Source organism: Homo sapiens, chromosome X, assembly GCF_000001405.40.
Source record: "Homo sapiens chromosome X, GRCh38.p14 Primary Assembly".
Classification (NCBI taxonomy): Eukaryota; Metazoa; Chordata; class Mammalia; order Primates; family Hominidae; genus Homo; species Homo sapiens.
Window position 1 is genome coordinate 5,884,702 of NC_000023.11, and position 15,543 is coordinate 5,900,244.

At 39.5% G+C, this 15,543-nt stretch overlaps 1 protein-coding gene across 17 annotated transcripts in view; it reads right to left on the reverse strand.

Annotated features, from left to right (window-relative positions):
* Positions 5,341–15,543, reverse strand: part of NLGN4X (neuroligin 4 X-linked) — a 338,826-nt gene continuing 328,623 nt past the window's right edge. For all 17 annotated transcript variants that reach the window (NM_181332.3, XM_005274564.4, NM_001282145.2 and 14 more), the window contains one exon: positions 5,341–8,965. In NM_181332.3, the coding sequence (NP_851849.1) occupies positions 8,116–8,965 (850 nt within the window). In that variant the 3' untranslated portion in view covers positions 5,341–8,115. The remainder of the gene's footprint in view (positions 8,966–15,543) is intronic.

Genomic DNA, 15,543 nt, shown 5'->3' on the forward strand with positions numbered 1-15,543 from the left:
GGAGAAAAGGGGTTTTGTCTGTGGTCTGATGGGGACGACACAATGCATTGGGGATGGTGGGGTGATGATAATAGCCACATATTTCACAAAGTGTGTGCACTGGTCACACAGGTTAGGCAGTCCATGGACATCGCTGGTTAGGAGCAGATGTCCTGGGGTTGTTCATCTCATTCAAAGAGTGCTGCTTTTGAAAGCCAGTCCTATTTAATGCATTTTGGTGTACATTCTATAGCAATCCAAGCCTGCTTTCTCCTATGCTAAGCATTATTCACAATGTTTCCGTGGGCACCTGTATCTCCTTTGTGCTCTCTAACCTTAATCTTCTAAGTTCCATGCGCTCTCTATGTGCATTCAGGTGAGATGCAGGCACAACAAGGGTTTTAAGGCGCCATTTCAGCAAAAATGAGCACAGAGAAAAACAAATCACAAGTAAAGTAAAATCACAGGTAAAACTGAGAAACTGTTTTAAACGGGCACTCTACAAAATCTATAAGCACTCTGAATCTACTCTGTTTATGAGTGCATATATGTGTGTCTGTGTGTGTACATGATGAGTTTTAAGATTTAAAGCTATCGTTGTTCTCAAGACATGGAGAGATTAGTTTTTTTCTTCCCCAAAATGTCTACAGGGAGGCATATATTTCTCCAACAACTGTGTGTGTTAGAGAATAGTTGACAAGCACATGCTTTTAAAAGCAAAACGATATGATTGCGATCACTAGATATTTTATGTTCTAAGACTGCAACCTTGAGCAATTCATTTAATCTTCTGTACCCCACTTTCCTCGTATGTAAAATGAGACAGTCTACACCCTGGGACTGGTAAAAGGATTAAATGAGGTAATGCATATAACCTATGCAGAACAACACATTTTGATGATTATTTGAAAGTTTTAAAACAAGTCATTGCTCTGTAAATGGTTGACTCAATGCTTTTCGAAAATCTCTTAAGCATTTGTTTGAAAAGTTTGTCTGTATGTAATGCACATCCTTATGAACTGTTACATTCTTTTCTATTATTATAATTTGAAAACTGTAATTGCTCTACTAGAAATAACACCTGAAGCCCAATAACACAGGCAGCCCAAGCATGTTAGTTTGAAAGCTGTGTTCATAATGTATATCCTCATAGAAAGAGATGTTGCATAAAAACGAAGCTAATACCTGAGCCCACAAAAAATTGATTCGGCCAGTTGTACCACTGAAGCATAATAATGGTTCTAATATTCAAAATTAGGCATCGTTTGATTTCTCAGTTTTTATTGGAATTTTTAGGGTTATATTTTGGGGTGCCAGAAATACATCTCCCCATTTCCTTTCTTCTGAGTCCAAGGCCCTGTGTTTAGAGCCTGGGGCTGAGAAAGATTTTTCTTTTGGGTATCCTTCCAGCTGTGGCTGTTGGCAATTTGTCTTAGTCTCCAAAGACTCCCTATCCAGCCTGTTTAGGAACCAGTGACCTCAAGAACTAGTCTGAACCTTCACCTTTAATAAATGTCACCTGTTAATTCCAGGTAAGGTTTTCCCCTGGCTAATTTATCTCATTTTCCCTAATTCTCTTGCCTCTAGAGGAAACAGGATTATTTGTGGGTGTTCTAAGTATTTACACGGATGGTCATTTTAGAGAAGGGTAGAGTTTCCGTGGACTTTTTCCTGTATCCCCATTTCTTTCAATATAATAATGAGAATTTGCAGAGGAAGTGTCACTTTCACTTCCTTAGCATAACCTAGATTTTTTTTGAACCAGGTGGCCTGAGAGATGGGACATATGAGTACATATTCTGGAAGTTCTGAGAAAGAACAAAAGAAACAGCCCTCATATCTGGCTGCTGGAACTAGCCTGCTAATTAATGGCTAAGTCAAGGTGCATCCGGCTGCACATAAAAATAATTGAAAGAACTTCAACATCAGAAGAAGGCAGCCCACAGCCAGCACGGGATGAGACAGAAACATGAACAATTTGTAACCACTAATAACGACCCCAAATCCCCTTCTCTTCCACTGCTTATTTTTACTGAAGACAATGCTAGTCATGCTCTGGTCCTGTCACTTTCTGGCTAAAGGTTATTGACATCCCCATTATCCTGATAGCAACTAATCCAGGAACAAGTTCTTGCCCCTCTTAGCACTTCTAAAACAACCCAGTCTAAGCCCAAACCCTTGACCAGCCCGTCTGAACCCCTCTCCAAGGTAGCTCATCATTCTCCTTGTATGCCCTCCCTCTGTTGAAACAAGTTCCTAAACCCAAGCTTAACTTCAGATGCGGTTCCAGGTGGTATTTGATGACTGCGCCTAATCAGTTCTGGTACATGCAGCTATAAAATGATGCAATGTTTTTATTGTTTTTTTTTTTTTTTTTTGCTTTCTTATTATCACTATCGCCATCACCCTTGAAAAGAGGACAGTCATTAATTTCTCAAACAGATTGCTCTGCCTCCTTAATGCTTTCCTTGCATCCAGAGCCCTCTCACTCTGATACAAACTATGCTCACGGTTACTTCTAAAGTGGACAGTTCTCCATCCTTTGCAACCTAAAAGAGTTGGGGTTAGTTGAGGACCAGCAACATGTGCACCACTTTGAGAGCTCGTTGGAAATGCAGACACAGGTTCACCAAACCACAATTGAATAAGGATCTGCACTTTAAGCAGATGTCCTACATGTTCCTAAGAACGTGAATTTTTGAGAATTACTGCTAAATGTCCCAGCTACACTCATACACCAATTTGGTGCAATCATTTGGCGTCTCCCTGACTTTGGGACAAAGCCCAAACTCCCTGCCTTGCCTCTGGAGGTTTTTTATCAGCCAGTTTCTTTCTGCCTCGTATTTCGCACCTTTCTAAAAAATACCTTGTATTTTTTTACCCATGATGCAGGAGCATGGTTTCCCAACTTCCTCTGTCTTCTCACTTCAAAGGTGTGGAATTCTATCTTCCCCACAACACACCACCCACTGTCATTTTTTCTACGGAGTTGGAAAGATCTGGCTTAGGTTTCTTCAGACAGAATACGTTCCCAACCTTCCCAGACTAGGTTAAGAGCAGTGTCCAGACATTTCTTAGCACCACGTATTAGCATGGGTGCCATCTCCATCTCCAGCACCCCCTGCCTCTCCTTGCTTCTGTGTTTCTCTGCCTTCCCCTTGAGTTTTATGGTGTGAGAAGTTTTTTCTTCAATTTTAACACCAGCCCAGCACAGGGCCTGGGACAGTGGAGATATTCAGTAAAGGTTTGTTGAATGAATTAATGAATGCATATATTTTTTAGCATTCCTTGGGTTATTCACAATGAACAAGAATGCATAAAATAGTCAAAACAAGAGTGATTCTCCCTCCAGCTGAAATTTGCTAAAAATTCGACTTTGAATGCCTGAAGATGACAATAAGTATAAGTATATATGTATGTGTGTATATACATGTGTTTATATGTGTGTTTAATGCAAATGCCATTCTTAGAGATTTAAGTGCATGCATATCTATGAATATATCTATGTACATTATGTATCTGTATATATGTATGTGTGTCTAGGTGTGTGTATATTCAGTAATGGCCCTTTTCCAAGGGGGATGTGTTCAAAACTCAGTGGATACCTGAAACCACAGATAGTACCAAACCCTTTATATACTATGTATTTTATTATATGTACACACTTTTGATAAAGTTCATAAATTAGAGGCAGTAAGAGATGAACAATAACTAATAAAAGAGAACATTTATAACAATATACTGTCATAAAAGTTACGTGAGTGTGGCCTCTTTCAAAATATCTCATTGAACTGTACTCACATATTTTTACACCACAGTTGTCCACAGTACCTGAAACTGCAGAATGTGATTGCACAGATAAAGAGAACTAATGTATTTTCTATGTATATATACACACACACACACACACACACACACACACCCAGGAATATATATATGAGCACATTAAATATGTTGTGTGTGGATATACGAGTGTGTGTGCACATATATATGAGTGTGTGTATATTTATGTTTAACGGAATTGGCATCTTCAGGAATTTAAGTATGTGATATCTATGTATATATTTACATGTGTAACATATATATGCATATATGCATGTGTGCATATACAGTGTATGTAATGTATACATGCACAGTCACGCATCGCTTAACAATAGGGATCAATTCTGAGAAATGTATCGTTAGGTGATTTCATCATTGTGCAAACATCATGTAGTGTACTTACACAAACCTCGAGGTGCAGCCTACAGTACCCCTAGGCTCTATGGTATAGCCTAGTGCTTCCAGACTACAAACCTCTACAGCGTGTGACTGGAGAGAAGACCCTAGGCAACTGTAACACAATGATGAGCATTTGTGTATCTAAACATATCTAAACATAGAAAAGGCACAAGAAAAATGTTATTATAATCTCTTGAGATTGTCATCATGTTATTTGCATTTGTCCAAAATGTTATTATGCTGTGCATGACTCTATACATAATGCATATATAGGATATGTACATGTATATACATATATAATGTACACATAAATGTACATATATGTGTATGTGTGTCTATGTATTTCTCCTGTGTGCCTTCACAACACGATTGAGACAAACAACATCTGAAGAATTTAGGAGTTCACATATGTCAGAGAGTCCAAGTCCTTGCTATCTTTCTTTATCTGATACTTAGCTAGGATTATCACAACATGCAGGGCCTTGGCTTACAAGTGTTTGCCATATAACTTCTTGGTGAAAAGATTTTGGCTATGAGGATATACTATCCTGTTATCCATCAAGTTCTCCTGTCGAATAGGGGCTAGTTTCCTCTGAACATATTCCATTATGAAAGGGGAGCAATGCAGGTGCGTGCCCCTTAGGGCTACTGCGAATGTCAAATAAGATCGTGATGGTTGGATGCACAGGAAGGAATTGACAAATGAGCTCCCATTGGTATGATAGTGATTTTCTGCCTCTTGAGTTTCATTCGGTAGAATTTCTTGCTGTCACTTGCAGGCTTACTCACCTAAGGCTATTTGAAAGTGTTTTGTTGACCACAAATCAAAACACAGTGACGCAAGAAGGCACAGTGGTAGAAATAACAAATCCAAACACTCCGTTTCAGACAGTGTCACCTGAGGAGCTTCACCAAACAGGGCTTGGTTTTCCAAAATCAGGCCAGCAGAGCCTCCTCAACTGTGCAGCTGGCCAAAGCTAAAGAAACTATCCCATTACCAAATGTATTTATCTATTTGTAGCCTATGTCAGGCGCATCACTTAGTTTTTACAAAGAAAAAGACATTCAAAGAACAACAAAAGTAAATAAAACACGCCACCTACCAAGAAAGAATGGACGCATAATTATTTGCACAAAGCATTAGAAAATACTGTGATATTTTATTATTAAAAATGCTGCTGAAAAGTTTATACATATGTGTCCGGCCATATATATCTTCTATCATTACTTAAGGCAAAATAAAAAACAAAACTGCAAAATAATAACCCAAGGAACCATTAAACCCTGCGTGCCTTTGAAGATCAAGAGTAAAAGCCTAGGACAGGATTTTTTTTTTTCTTACTTTTTTCTCATTTTTTTTCTTTTTTCTCTTTTTTATAGATAGCAAGTATATTTTTTCTCATAGAACTCTATGAAGATTCTATAACTTCTTTCCATGTAGAAATAAGATATCATTTAAGATGTACTAAAATCACTTTTGATCATAATCCCCTGTAAAAGCTAAAGTTATTCACTTAACAGGAACTCTGTTTTTCCTTATTCAAATGTCACAAGCCTGACGCGTTACTGTACATATTGCTAGCAGGAGACAACTGGAAATACTAAACAAATACTGGAATTCACATTACAGACAGACGAAACCAACATGGATGCCACACATAACTTCCTTTGTAGTTTCACAGAGAGCCTATTTGTGGTTGCTCAGGTGGGGTCATACATTGCTTGCAGAAATGGCCTGATCATAGCTCTATGAAACAATGAATTCGGAATGAAATCTTACCATGACACCTCTCTGTAGGAAAGAAATGTTGCTTCACGTGTGCTAAGTTGAGATAATAATATTTCACATATTTATATACAGAGAATCACTCTCAAATTTAACCCAAGATAAGCAATAGGATTTGGGGGTGACTTGTACGCATTTCTAAAAACACTTTTCTTTTTTCTAGAGGTCACTCTCAAACACTGATATATCACTATAGTTTGAGTGTAGGGATTCAGTAATCAAAGGTTGTTATTGCAAAAGAGCCAGGCAGCTGGACAATTTTTATGGGGAATGTCCACTTTAGCGGAGAGATTTAAGACTGGATTTCTAGAATAACCCACAATGGAGCCGAGGAACATGATCTTCAAATATCTTTGGCTACTGTTTCTTGGTAATGCAATAATTTTTCAAAAAAGTATCCATTGCTACTATGTTTCCTTCCACCTTATAACACTCAAAACTTTCCTGAAAAATGAGAAGAGAAATGAAAAAATGACAAGCTGTTGGAAAGACAAATCTCTGATCCCTAGGTCACCAATTTAAAATGGGTGAATAATTTCCATTCAATGTCTTCTCAGTGAAGTTATCCTAATTTCCCAGAAAACCCATGCAAAGCAGTTTTAATATTCTATCCTTTCTTCCCCCATTCTTCTATAATATTCACCGTTTGGTGACCGGATACACAAATCCACAAAAAGTGATGTTTTCAGACAATCATATGTTTGATCCCATAAATGATATAAAAGATTTTTAAAAACCTGCTTACTGATAAATAAGGGACCGAGTGCTTAAACAAAAAGGAAAGACACATGTCTTCCTTCAATCTGATTAGCTAAGCTGAGCAGGTACTTCATCGGCCAAACCCTCCCGCAGCTGCTAGGGAACACAGAGCCGTATTTACTCCAAGGGGCATAGCCCCACCAAAGGCAAGCTTTCTTCTTTTTTTGGCAGGGCCCTGAAATGGGAAGCAACTCTTCCTAAACATATTCAAAGGGCCAGAGCTACAGAACGGGACTTGTATTTTTGTTTCTCCCTACTGATTCTTTGTGTGTGCATGTCTCTAATTTAACAAGCTGTAAATACACTCCACTTTGGGGACCCATCTCTGTACTGCAATTTCATGAAGGCTAACACGTACAAGTCAAAAGTTTTTCAAAACAGTGGTCTCCTAAGAATGCTCTTGCATGCACCTGTGCAACCTGACGGGGGAAATAGGCCACACAGACCGTCTGGGTCTTCTGTGGGACATCACATCCTCCTACAAATGAGAATCTCATGTAAGAAAATCCCATGTCTTTGTTTACCACAAGTAATTAAGAAGAAAAGCCTCTTTTGTTGGGGAGGAAACAGAGGTGATATGACTAATGTGTGTGTGTGTGTGTATATATATATATATTTATATACGTACAGAGCACAATGAAAAGCACAACCTTGCTAAAAGCTCTTTCAAAGTGAAAACACCAATAAAAGCTTTTTTTCTTGTTTGTCTGTTTGTGGTTTTTGTTTAAACTCACAGCTATATACATTTTTCTTTTTTACAAAGTCTCTTAAATATAGTTCAGGCTGGCAAAACACCTCTTTGCACAGAACCGTACAGATTTCGCTGCACAGTCCATTCTTTTAATAATAAATTTCTACGTTTCCTTCTCTCTGGATTACAGCTCCATGTGCTGGGCAAAATCTCATTGACTCTTTCTTCACTTAAGGAGAGCCATCCATTGTGTGGCACAGAAAGAAATGTTTAAACTTCCATTGTAATTAAAAAATATCAAGTGTCCTTGGCTGAGTTTCAGAAGTGTCAGCTGCTTCCATGACGTTGGAAACACCCGGGGCCTTGAAATGGTGATGTCCTATCACACTAAACATCGATTGGAGTGGTAGAGATCTTAAAGCAGTTATTTTAACAGAAATGTGTACTTCTCACATTTCACAGGGTCAGAAGTTGATCTTGTAATACTGGAAAACACCAACGATAAGGGTCTGCCGGGATGGGATGACTGCCTTTTTGCATTTTTGTCTTAAGTCAGTGGGACAAAAACATTCCTGGTCTGGAGACTTTCTTTCTCTCTCTCTTTCCTTCTCTCTTTCCTTCCCTCTTCTATGTTGCTGAGCGGGTAGGGCAGAGGGATAGGAAGGGAAATAGGGCAAAGCTATACTCTAGTGGTGGAATGTCCGTGGGGTAAATTTGTACTGTTTTGTCCTCCACTGAAGGTGTTAAAAGTGTGCAAAGGCTGCATCCCCGTCAGTGTGTTTGGAATCATGGTGATGGTGTTTGGCGTCATAAGTGGGATGTCATCTGGCGACCGGCGCAGCGTGAGGGTGTAGTCTGGCGGGCAGGTGAGCCTCAGTGTGTCGTGTGCCTGCAGCGACTCACACTCGTGATCGTGTTCCAGCTGCTTCATCTGCAGAGACATGATCTCTTCGTTCTGGATGTGAGCGATATCATTTGTGGTGTTTCTCTGGGGACTGGGGCGCCTGTGAGTCTCATGGCGCCTCTTGTCCTTTTTGTAGTACAGCGCCGCAAAAGCTAAGATGTTGAGGAAGAGGAGCGACGCCCCGACGGCAATGGTGACACTTAATTCGGTGGAATAATCTCGTTTGGTTTCAATGAGGACAGTTGTGTCCTCAGGCCCTGTTTTGTGAGGGTCCTTAGAGTGTTTGGGATTGTTGGCAGGAGTGATTGCTGGGCGTTTGGTGGTTGGCCATATCTTGGCGGGAGATCGCCGGGTGCCATAGGGAAATGATGTCATGTCTGGTGGAGGAACCTTTGTGGTTGTTGAAACATACTGGAATATCTCGTTCAAGTTGTGCAAATGAGGAACGAGTTCCAACCAGAAAGCCACTTTCGTTGCCCGGTAGTGATCTCTCACTCTGGGTTTCAAGCCAATATGCAGATAGAGCTGGTCTTTGGGATTATACTTGGACCAGGCCACTTCTTCAAAGCGGTTGGGTTTTGTGTGAATGAACTTGGTATCCTGAGGAACTGGTTGATTTGGATCACTGAGGATAGAAGGAAGAAAAAAAGAAAGGTCATACTCTTCCACATGTGACGTGAAATTATCTTAAACCAATAAATCAGGAAGTTACAATCTGCTCTTCATATATATTTATCAATGAGCACAAAATACCCAAGCAGCAAAGGTACATTCTGCTTTAATCCTAGACCTGTCTACCATGTTGTCTTTTCCTTTAAAAATTGCTCTTATTTTTCTTTTAAATATAAATCCTGATAGCAGCATTATGCAATTTTTATAACATGTTTACTATTTTTTAAGGCATCAAATGATCTTCAAAAATAAAGGGAAAGAAGGAAAACTAAGTGTCTCTAGGAAAAATTTCAGTATTTCAAGTTTCACTCTTGTCGAACTGTAAAACTCATCCAGGACTGATTTGCTCCAAAGGGATATTTGGCAGTATCTGGAGACACTTTTGGTTTCCGTAGACGAAGGGTTGTTCTATGAAGGGTGGAGGTGAGGGATGCTACTAAATACCCTCTGGTGCACAGGAGAGACCCCCACAGCAAAGAAGTTATCTGGACCCAAATGTTAACAGTACTGAGGTTGAGAAATTCTGATTAAGAAGCTATTGTCCAAGAAATGGGTATTCTCTTTCTTGCTCAAGAATTGCTTTTGAAGTAAATGAATAAATGTTGCAGTTTTAGCAATGAAAATTGATATTAACAGTAGAAATAAAAATAGGCTTTATAATTACAAAGTGTTTGTAAATAGACATATGCACCATGTGTTTGCTCTCTATTTGAAGGTAAAAAGATGAAAGCACGCTATGTTAGCTGTAAGAAGTTTGCTAAAATGGTACATATAGTTATGATGAGGTTAACATGTTTAAGATAAAAAAGACACCCAGAAACAAGTCAAGGGCTGTTACAGATGCTAAGTTGTGCTTGGAAACTATGAGCCAAAGAATTATCTTCTTATTATTTGCACAAGTGGTCACAGGTAGAAGGAGAATCATAAAAATTTGGAGATAATTCATAAAACATAGGGCCTTTAATAAACATCTTTGCAACTGACTCTTTTAGGATAACACTTCCCCTTCAAAAAATAAATTACCAAATGCTCATTTCTTCCATTTTTTTTATGGCTTGTAAAGTAAGCTAAAAAACAATTACGTCTTAAGGTTTATTTGTTATAAAAACGATTTGAGATTATGCATGGCAAAATGTTATGTACTAGTTAGCACTGAGCATTGAGATGTGATGTGCAGAACCAGGCAAGCAGGGAGTTGCAACATCCTGATCAATGGCTCCAGGTGTGAGCTAAGGGCTATCTTCCAGGTAACTTCTCCTTGGCGGGACTTCTGTGAAACTGCCTCCAGTCATTGCATGGCCTGCATGGCAGAAGGCTGCAGGACCAAGGAAGATCATGTATCTGTAGCCATTACCAGACACTGTGCAGGATTCAAACAATATACTTGAGCCAGAGGCGCCACACTTGCTGAAGGAAGATTTTATCCCCTCAGTCTGAGTCTGTGGTGGTGATAAAATAAATCATTTCCCTGTATTCAACTTTCTGCAGCTCTGGCTAGTTAAGAGCTGTGAAATCTTAAGCAAGTTTTCCAGCCAGTATTGGCCTTAACTTACTCCTCTACATGGCTGATGAAAATATCAGGGTTGGAGGTAAGTGATGAAGGTTGAAAGATAATGACAAGATGTCTGGCATATGGTAAGAATTCAGGAAATATTACCCCCTCTCTTCCAATATAAAAAATAGAACACCTATAATATTGCAAGGGAGGGAGAAGTAGGGAGTGATATACTGTATATCAGAGTACATACTGAATTTCTATATTGTATACATTGTAGAGTGCATAAAAGTATATTGTATATTACATACTATATACAAGTATACTGCATACCACAGTTTATACTGCATACTAACTATATACTATATGCAGTATATATATGTATGTCATGTGTATATATGTGTATGTGTATATCTATCTATAGATATAGATATTAGATGTATAACATAATACAGGAGAAAAAGAAAGTTGACCTCTACCCTTTAGTTGAATGCACACTAACTGCTGTGTTTTCACTTTACTAATAGGGTGAGAACAAATATATATAATCTCATAGGTTCTAATACCATGAGTTTTCTTATTTACTGATAAACAATATATTTGAAAAGTCTTCTGCTTTTTTTATTTATTATGCATGTATTCTTACATGGTTTTGAAAAAATGTTGGATTCAATGCAGCAACTCATGTTTCTTTTGCTCTTTAAGTCCTCTGAAATAATTTTAAAATTTTCAGTTATTTAACGTGTACTGAAAGAAAAATAAGTGAATGAATATTTTAGGAAAAAAATCCACTAATATTAGTTATTGATTTTTAATATTCTAAAGAAACAAATGGAAGTGAAGATTCTACCTTTTTTTCCATGGATCCAATTTTACTGAATTGGATCTATTAGATGTGTGGCTACCTCATCTATTAAGCAGTGAGCATCTAGGAAAAGGAGTATTCTGTTCATGTTGGGTACAAGGCTATTTTCGAAGGAACTCAGGGTATATTTGAAAGGTAAAGAAAACACATTATATTTTGTTCTTGAAGAATAAAGCAGAGGATTTGGAAAATCCATATAAATGAGCTGCCACCTGATACCGTCTGTCTATTAAAGATCTCGGAGATGCACAGCCAGAATTCTTAAAGCCAGATAAACTTGTGGAGATTATGATAGCCCAAGTCATTCTCCCTTACCAAACCCTCCAGACAGTGAGGTCTAGATGTGGGGTATCAGTGTTTTGTTTTTTAGACTTTATTCAGCCTAAGAAGTGTTTAAACTCCTGTGAGTAAAATTAAAGACTATAATGATTGAGGACAGAAACACAAGTTGGTCTCTCTAGTAAAAGACTCAATGCATGTCTTCCTCCTTATCCCCCAGCACCTAACACAGCCATTTCCACCTGTCCTGTTTTATTTGAGATGTCATCTTGGCAGCAGAGACTCAAGTGCCTTTCTAAGGTCTAGTTCATTTCTTTAGCTGGAGATGGATATAGTACTATGATCTCTCTAAAAATATCTGTGAATCCTCTCAGCTGTTCCTTTAAGTAGTACAGGTTTTCCTCATACCCAAAACATTGTTCGCAGTTAACGATTATTACCGGACTAGTTTATTATGCATTCAGTGACTCCTCTTCCACACCAGGTGGGGATGTTCATTCATTCAGCTTAAAATTCCTTTTTGGTAATAAAGGTCGCCTTTACAGCCAGAATTACGCTGCAACTCTCTGTAACCCATCCCCACTAAATACCTCATTGGAACTTCTTTTTTTTCCCAAAGATTTAACAATAGTTGAACGTAAATTAATCATAGGATACCAGCACATTCAAAAGCAGTGATGGTAGCTGATGCAAACAGGACAGAAATCAATCTGCCGTACAAACCCCAGACTCGATGGAACAACATAAAAAAATCAAAATATGTGTTGATCTGATTTTCCATTACAAAACTCTCTTCTCATATCTGACTTCCAATAGCACATAAGGTCTTCTATTCTATATTATAATGCATTGTTTGGTTACTTTAAAGCACTGTTCTTTGTCATACCTTATAAATAAACCAAGATTCCCCACTCCTTTTTGTCCATCTCTTTCCACACAGAGCTCAAAATGAAAGAATCCTGGATCACTGAGCACCTGAATTTCATTGATCAGCTTGGACGAACCCTTTTTCTCCTATTCCCAAAGTAATTTTCCAGGAAAAGGACTTTAATGCTCTAGAACCCTTTTGAAACTTTAGAGTTAGTTTTCACTTCTCCTTGACACTGCAGCTGATTTCCAAAAACGGTCTCAATCTACCTTATTTCTACAATGCCTCTGCATGTTTGGGCTCACACGGTTCTCTTCCAGCATGATTTTAGTCCTCTGACCTGGACTAACATTGAAACACCTCCTTGCTACAGGGGAGGATCCCCCTCAGGCACAGGCCTGGGCAACTGCTTCCCTATTCAAAATAATAATAAAAAAGAAATAGCAAGGATTACTTGAGGCCCTGGCATTCAATGATTTCAACATCCTTTCTTGATCAAGGTTTTCATAATTTAGAGCCTCCGTAGGGACTTCCTCCTCATTTCTACTATGCGTACTCGCTGACTCCGCCTTTCTAAGATGGGAGAGCCCTCTCACCTAATGCTACCATGAAAATATACAGGTGACATAATTTATAAGCAAAGATCCAATTGTCCCTCCCTCCCTCCTTCTTTCCTTCCTCCTCTCCCCCTTCCCTCTTTTCTCTCTCTTACCCTCCTTTTCCCTGTTTTCCTTCTTTCCCTCCCTCCCTTCTTCCTCTCCTCCTCCATTCCCTTTTTCCTCCCTCTTCCTTCCTCCCTCCCTTCCTTCTTTCTCTCTCCCTCCATTTTTTCCTTCCTTCCCTCGCTACTTTCCTTCCTTCCTCTCTTCTTTCTCCCTTCTCCCTTCCTCTCTTCCCTCTTTTCTCTCTTTCCTTTCCTTCCTTCCATCTTTTCTTCCTTCCTCCCTTTCTTCCTTTCACCTTCCCTCCCTCCTTCCTTCCCTTCTTCTTTCCTTCCTCTCCTCCCCCCTTACCTCTTTCTTTCCTCCCTTCCTCCCTTCCTTTACTCCTTTCTTGATTCCCTCCCGCCCTCCTTTTCTTTTCCTCCCTCCCTCCCTCCTTCCCTCCCTTCGTTCCTTTGTCTGAACTCTCTTTCCTCCATTCCCTCCCTCCTTCCTTCCTTTTCTCCGCCATGCACATCCCAACATCATTTTTCTGTGCTCATCCCAAAACCAAAGGTTTATGTATACCAGGTATATGTGCCTTCAAACCTAGACTAAAGGTCAGAACCATCTACTTTGAGATGTCTATATAGAAGCATCCAGACCCCATCCACTTCATCTTGGCAAACACATGCGCCATCGAGAGACTGGCTGTGCCTGCAGGTTTAGAACGCTTGACTTAACGCCCACTGAGAGTGGTGAAGTATGTCCTGGCACAATGCGATCCTTTCTCCACGGCACCGTGTAGTGACAGACACGCTGGGAGCTATTCTTGTTTCCTCCTGTCACCTCCAGTGCTGGAAGGGAACAGTGATGGTATGCAGAAATATGCCCTCCTGTTCTGTGAGTCATCATCTGAGTGTGTGCTCTGCAAAATGGCGTTAAACTTGGCAGCTCACACCATGACAGCAGATAAGGTGCATCCCATACTTTCTCCTTGCGGGCATCAGTTTGGTTCATTCTCTGCACCTGGTGACCAGGGAATCCTTCTCTGCCCTGGAGTGATCGGGCCACCACCCAATTTACAATAAACAAATAACTACCAACTGCAACTGAAGTCCTTGTCATCCACTGACGAATACCTAGCTCACCAGACTGTGCCCGACAGTGAAATTCCCCATTTCCTTCTTTTATGGGGCTGCCATGGAGGTGTGATCACTTAAACTATTTGTATTTGAATCCACACGTTGCATTTCACATGAGATGTAAGTTCTGAGTAACTTCCTTGAGGAATCATTTGAGTCATTCTAATACCTTTCCAATGAATTAAAAGAGCTCACTGCATTAATACACTCAGTGTTATTTCAGGGATGTTTCCCATGGGCGGAAGAAACAAAAATAGAGGCTTCAGACGGACTGACATTCGAGCTCTGGGTACCTCAATGAACTCTCTCTACCTGCAGCTTTTGATTTCAGTAGCATCAGAGCGTCTCTCCAAGTTCTAGCAGTTATTCCTTCCTCATCTCTTCCAGCCATGTCAGGGCCTTCATGAAAGCTAGAAGCACCCTCAACACAGACCATGAATGGCAACGTGAATGTATTCCCTAAATGCAGGGTGGAAATCACAGGCTCTAAGCCAAGTGATTTTAAGAAACAGATTCATGGCATTAAAAGCACTCAATAACAGAGAGATCATTGTGGTATTCTCTTCTCACGGCTCTCTCAGACCTTCGTGATGTCTTGGTAAAAGCGTCCATTTGGTGTCAGCAGTGATAACGATCACCTCATGGAACTAATTAACTTCCTTTATCTTTTTCTGTCTTTTTTCCTTTTTTTTTTTTTTTATTTTTTTTTAATAATGAGAGAGCCAGCCTCAGTCTCATAGCCTTTGGAAGTCAGGAAGAGCTAATGAGAATTTAACAGCATTATTTAGATTTCACTATTGTTTTAATGGTTCCATAAAATGTATGAGGAATGATTCTAGCTTTCCACTTAAGATAATCATATAAAGTTTATTTTCAAATCATGTAAGGAGGAAAAGAAAAAGCATATGTTTTTAATGAGAGTAAGTAAAGAGAGTGTTTGCAGACCAAGTCGGTAATACGTTTGGATGCCAATGTAGCGAAGATTGAATGAGTATAGCCATGTTGGGAAACTCTCATGGAAGTCTTTAGGCTTCAAGAGGATGAAATTCTCTGCAAGGGCAGACACCGCCTATCTCAGTGCTGTCACAAAAGAGGGCCTGGCCCTGATTTCACAGGGTATTAGAGATTGAATACTGTCTCCCCATAAATTAAGATACGCTGAAGTCATAACCCCAGTATCTCAGTATGTGAGCTTATTTGGAAATAGGGTAACTGCAGATATGACTATTTATGTTAAG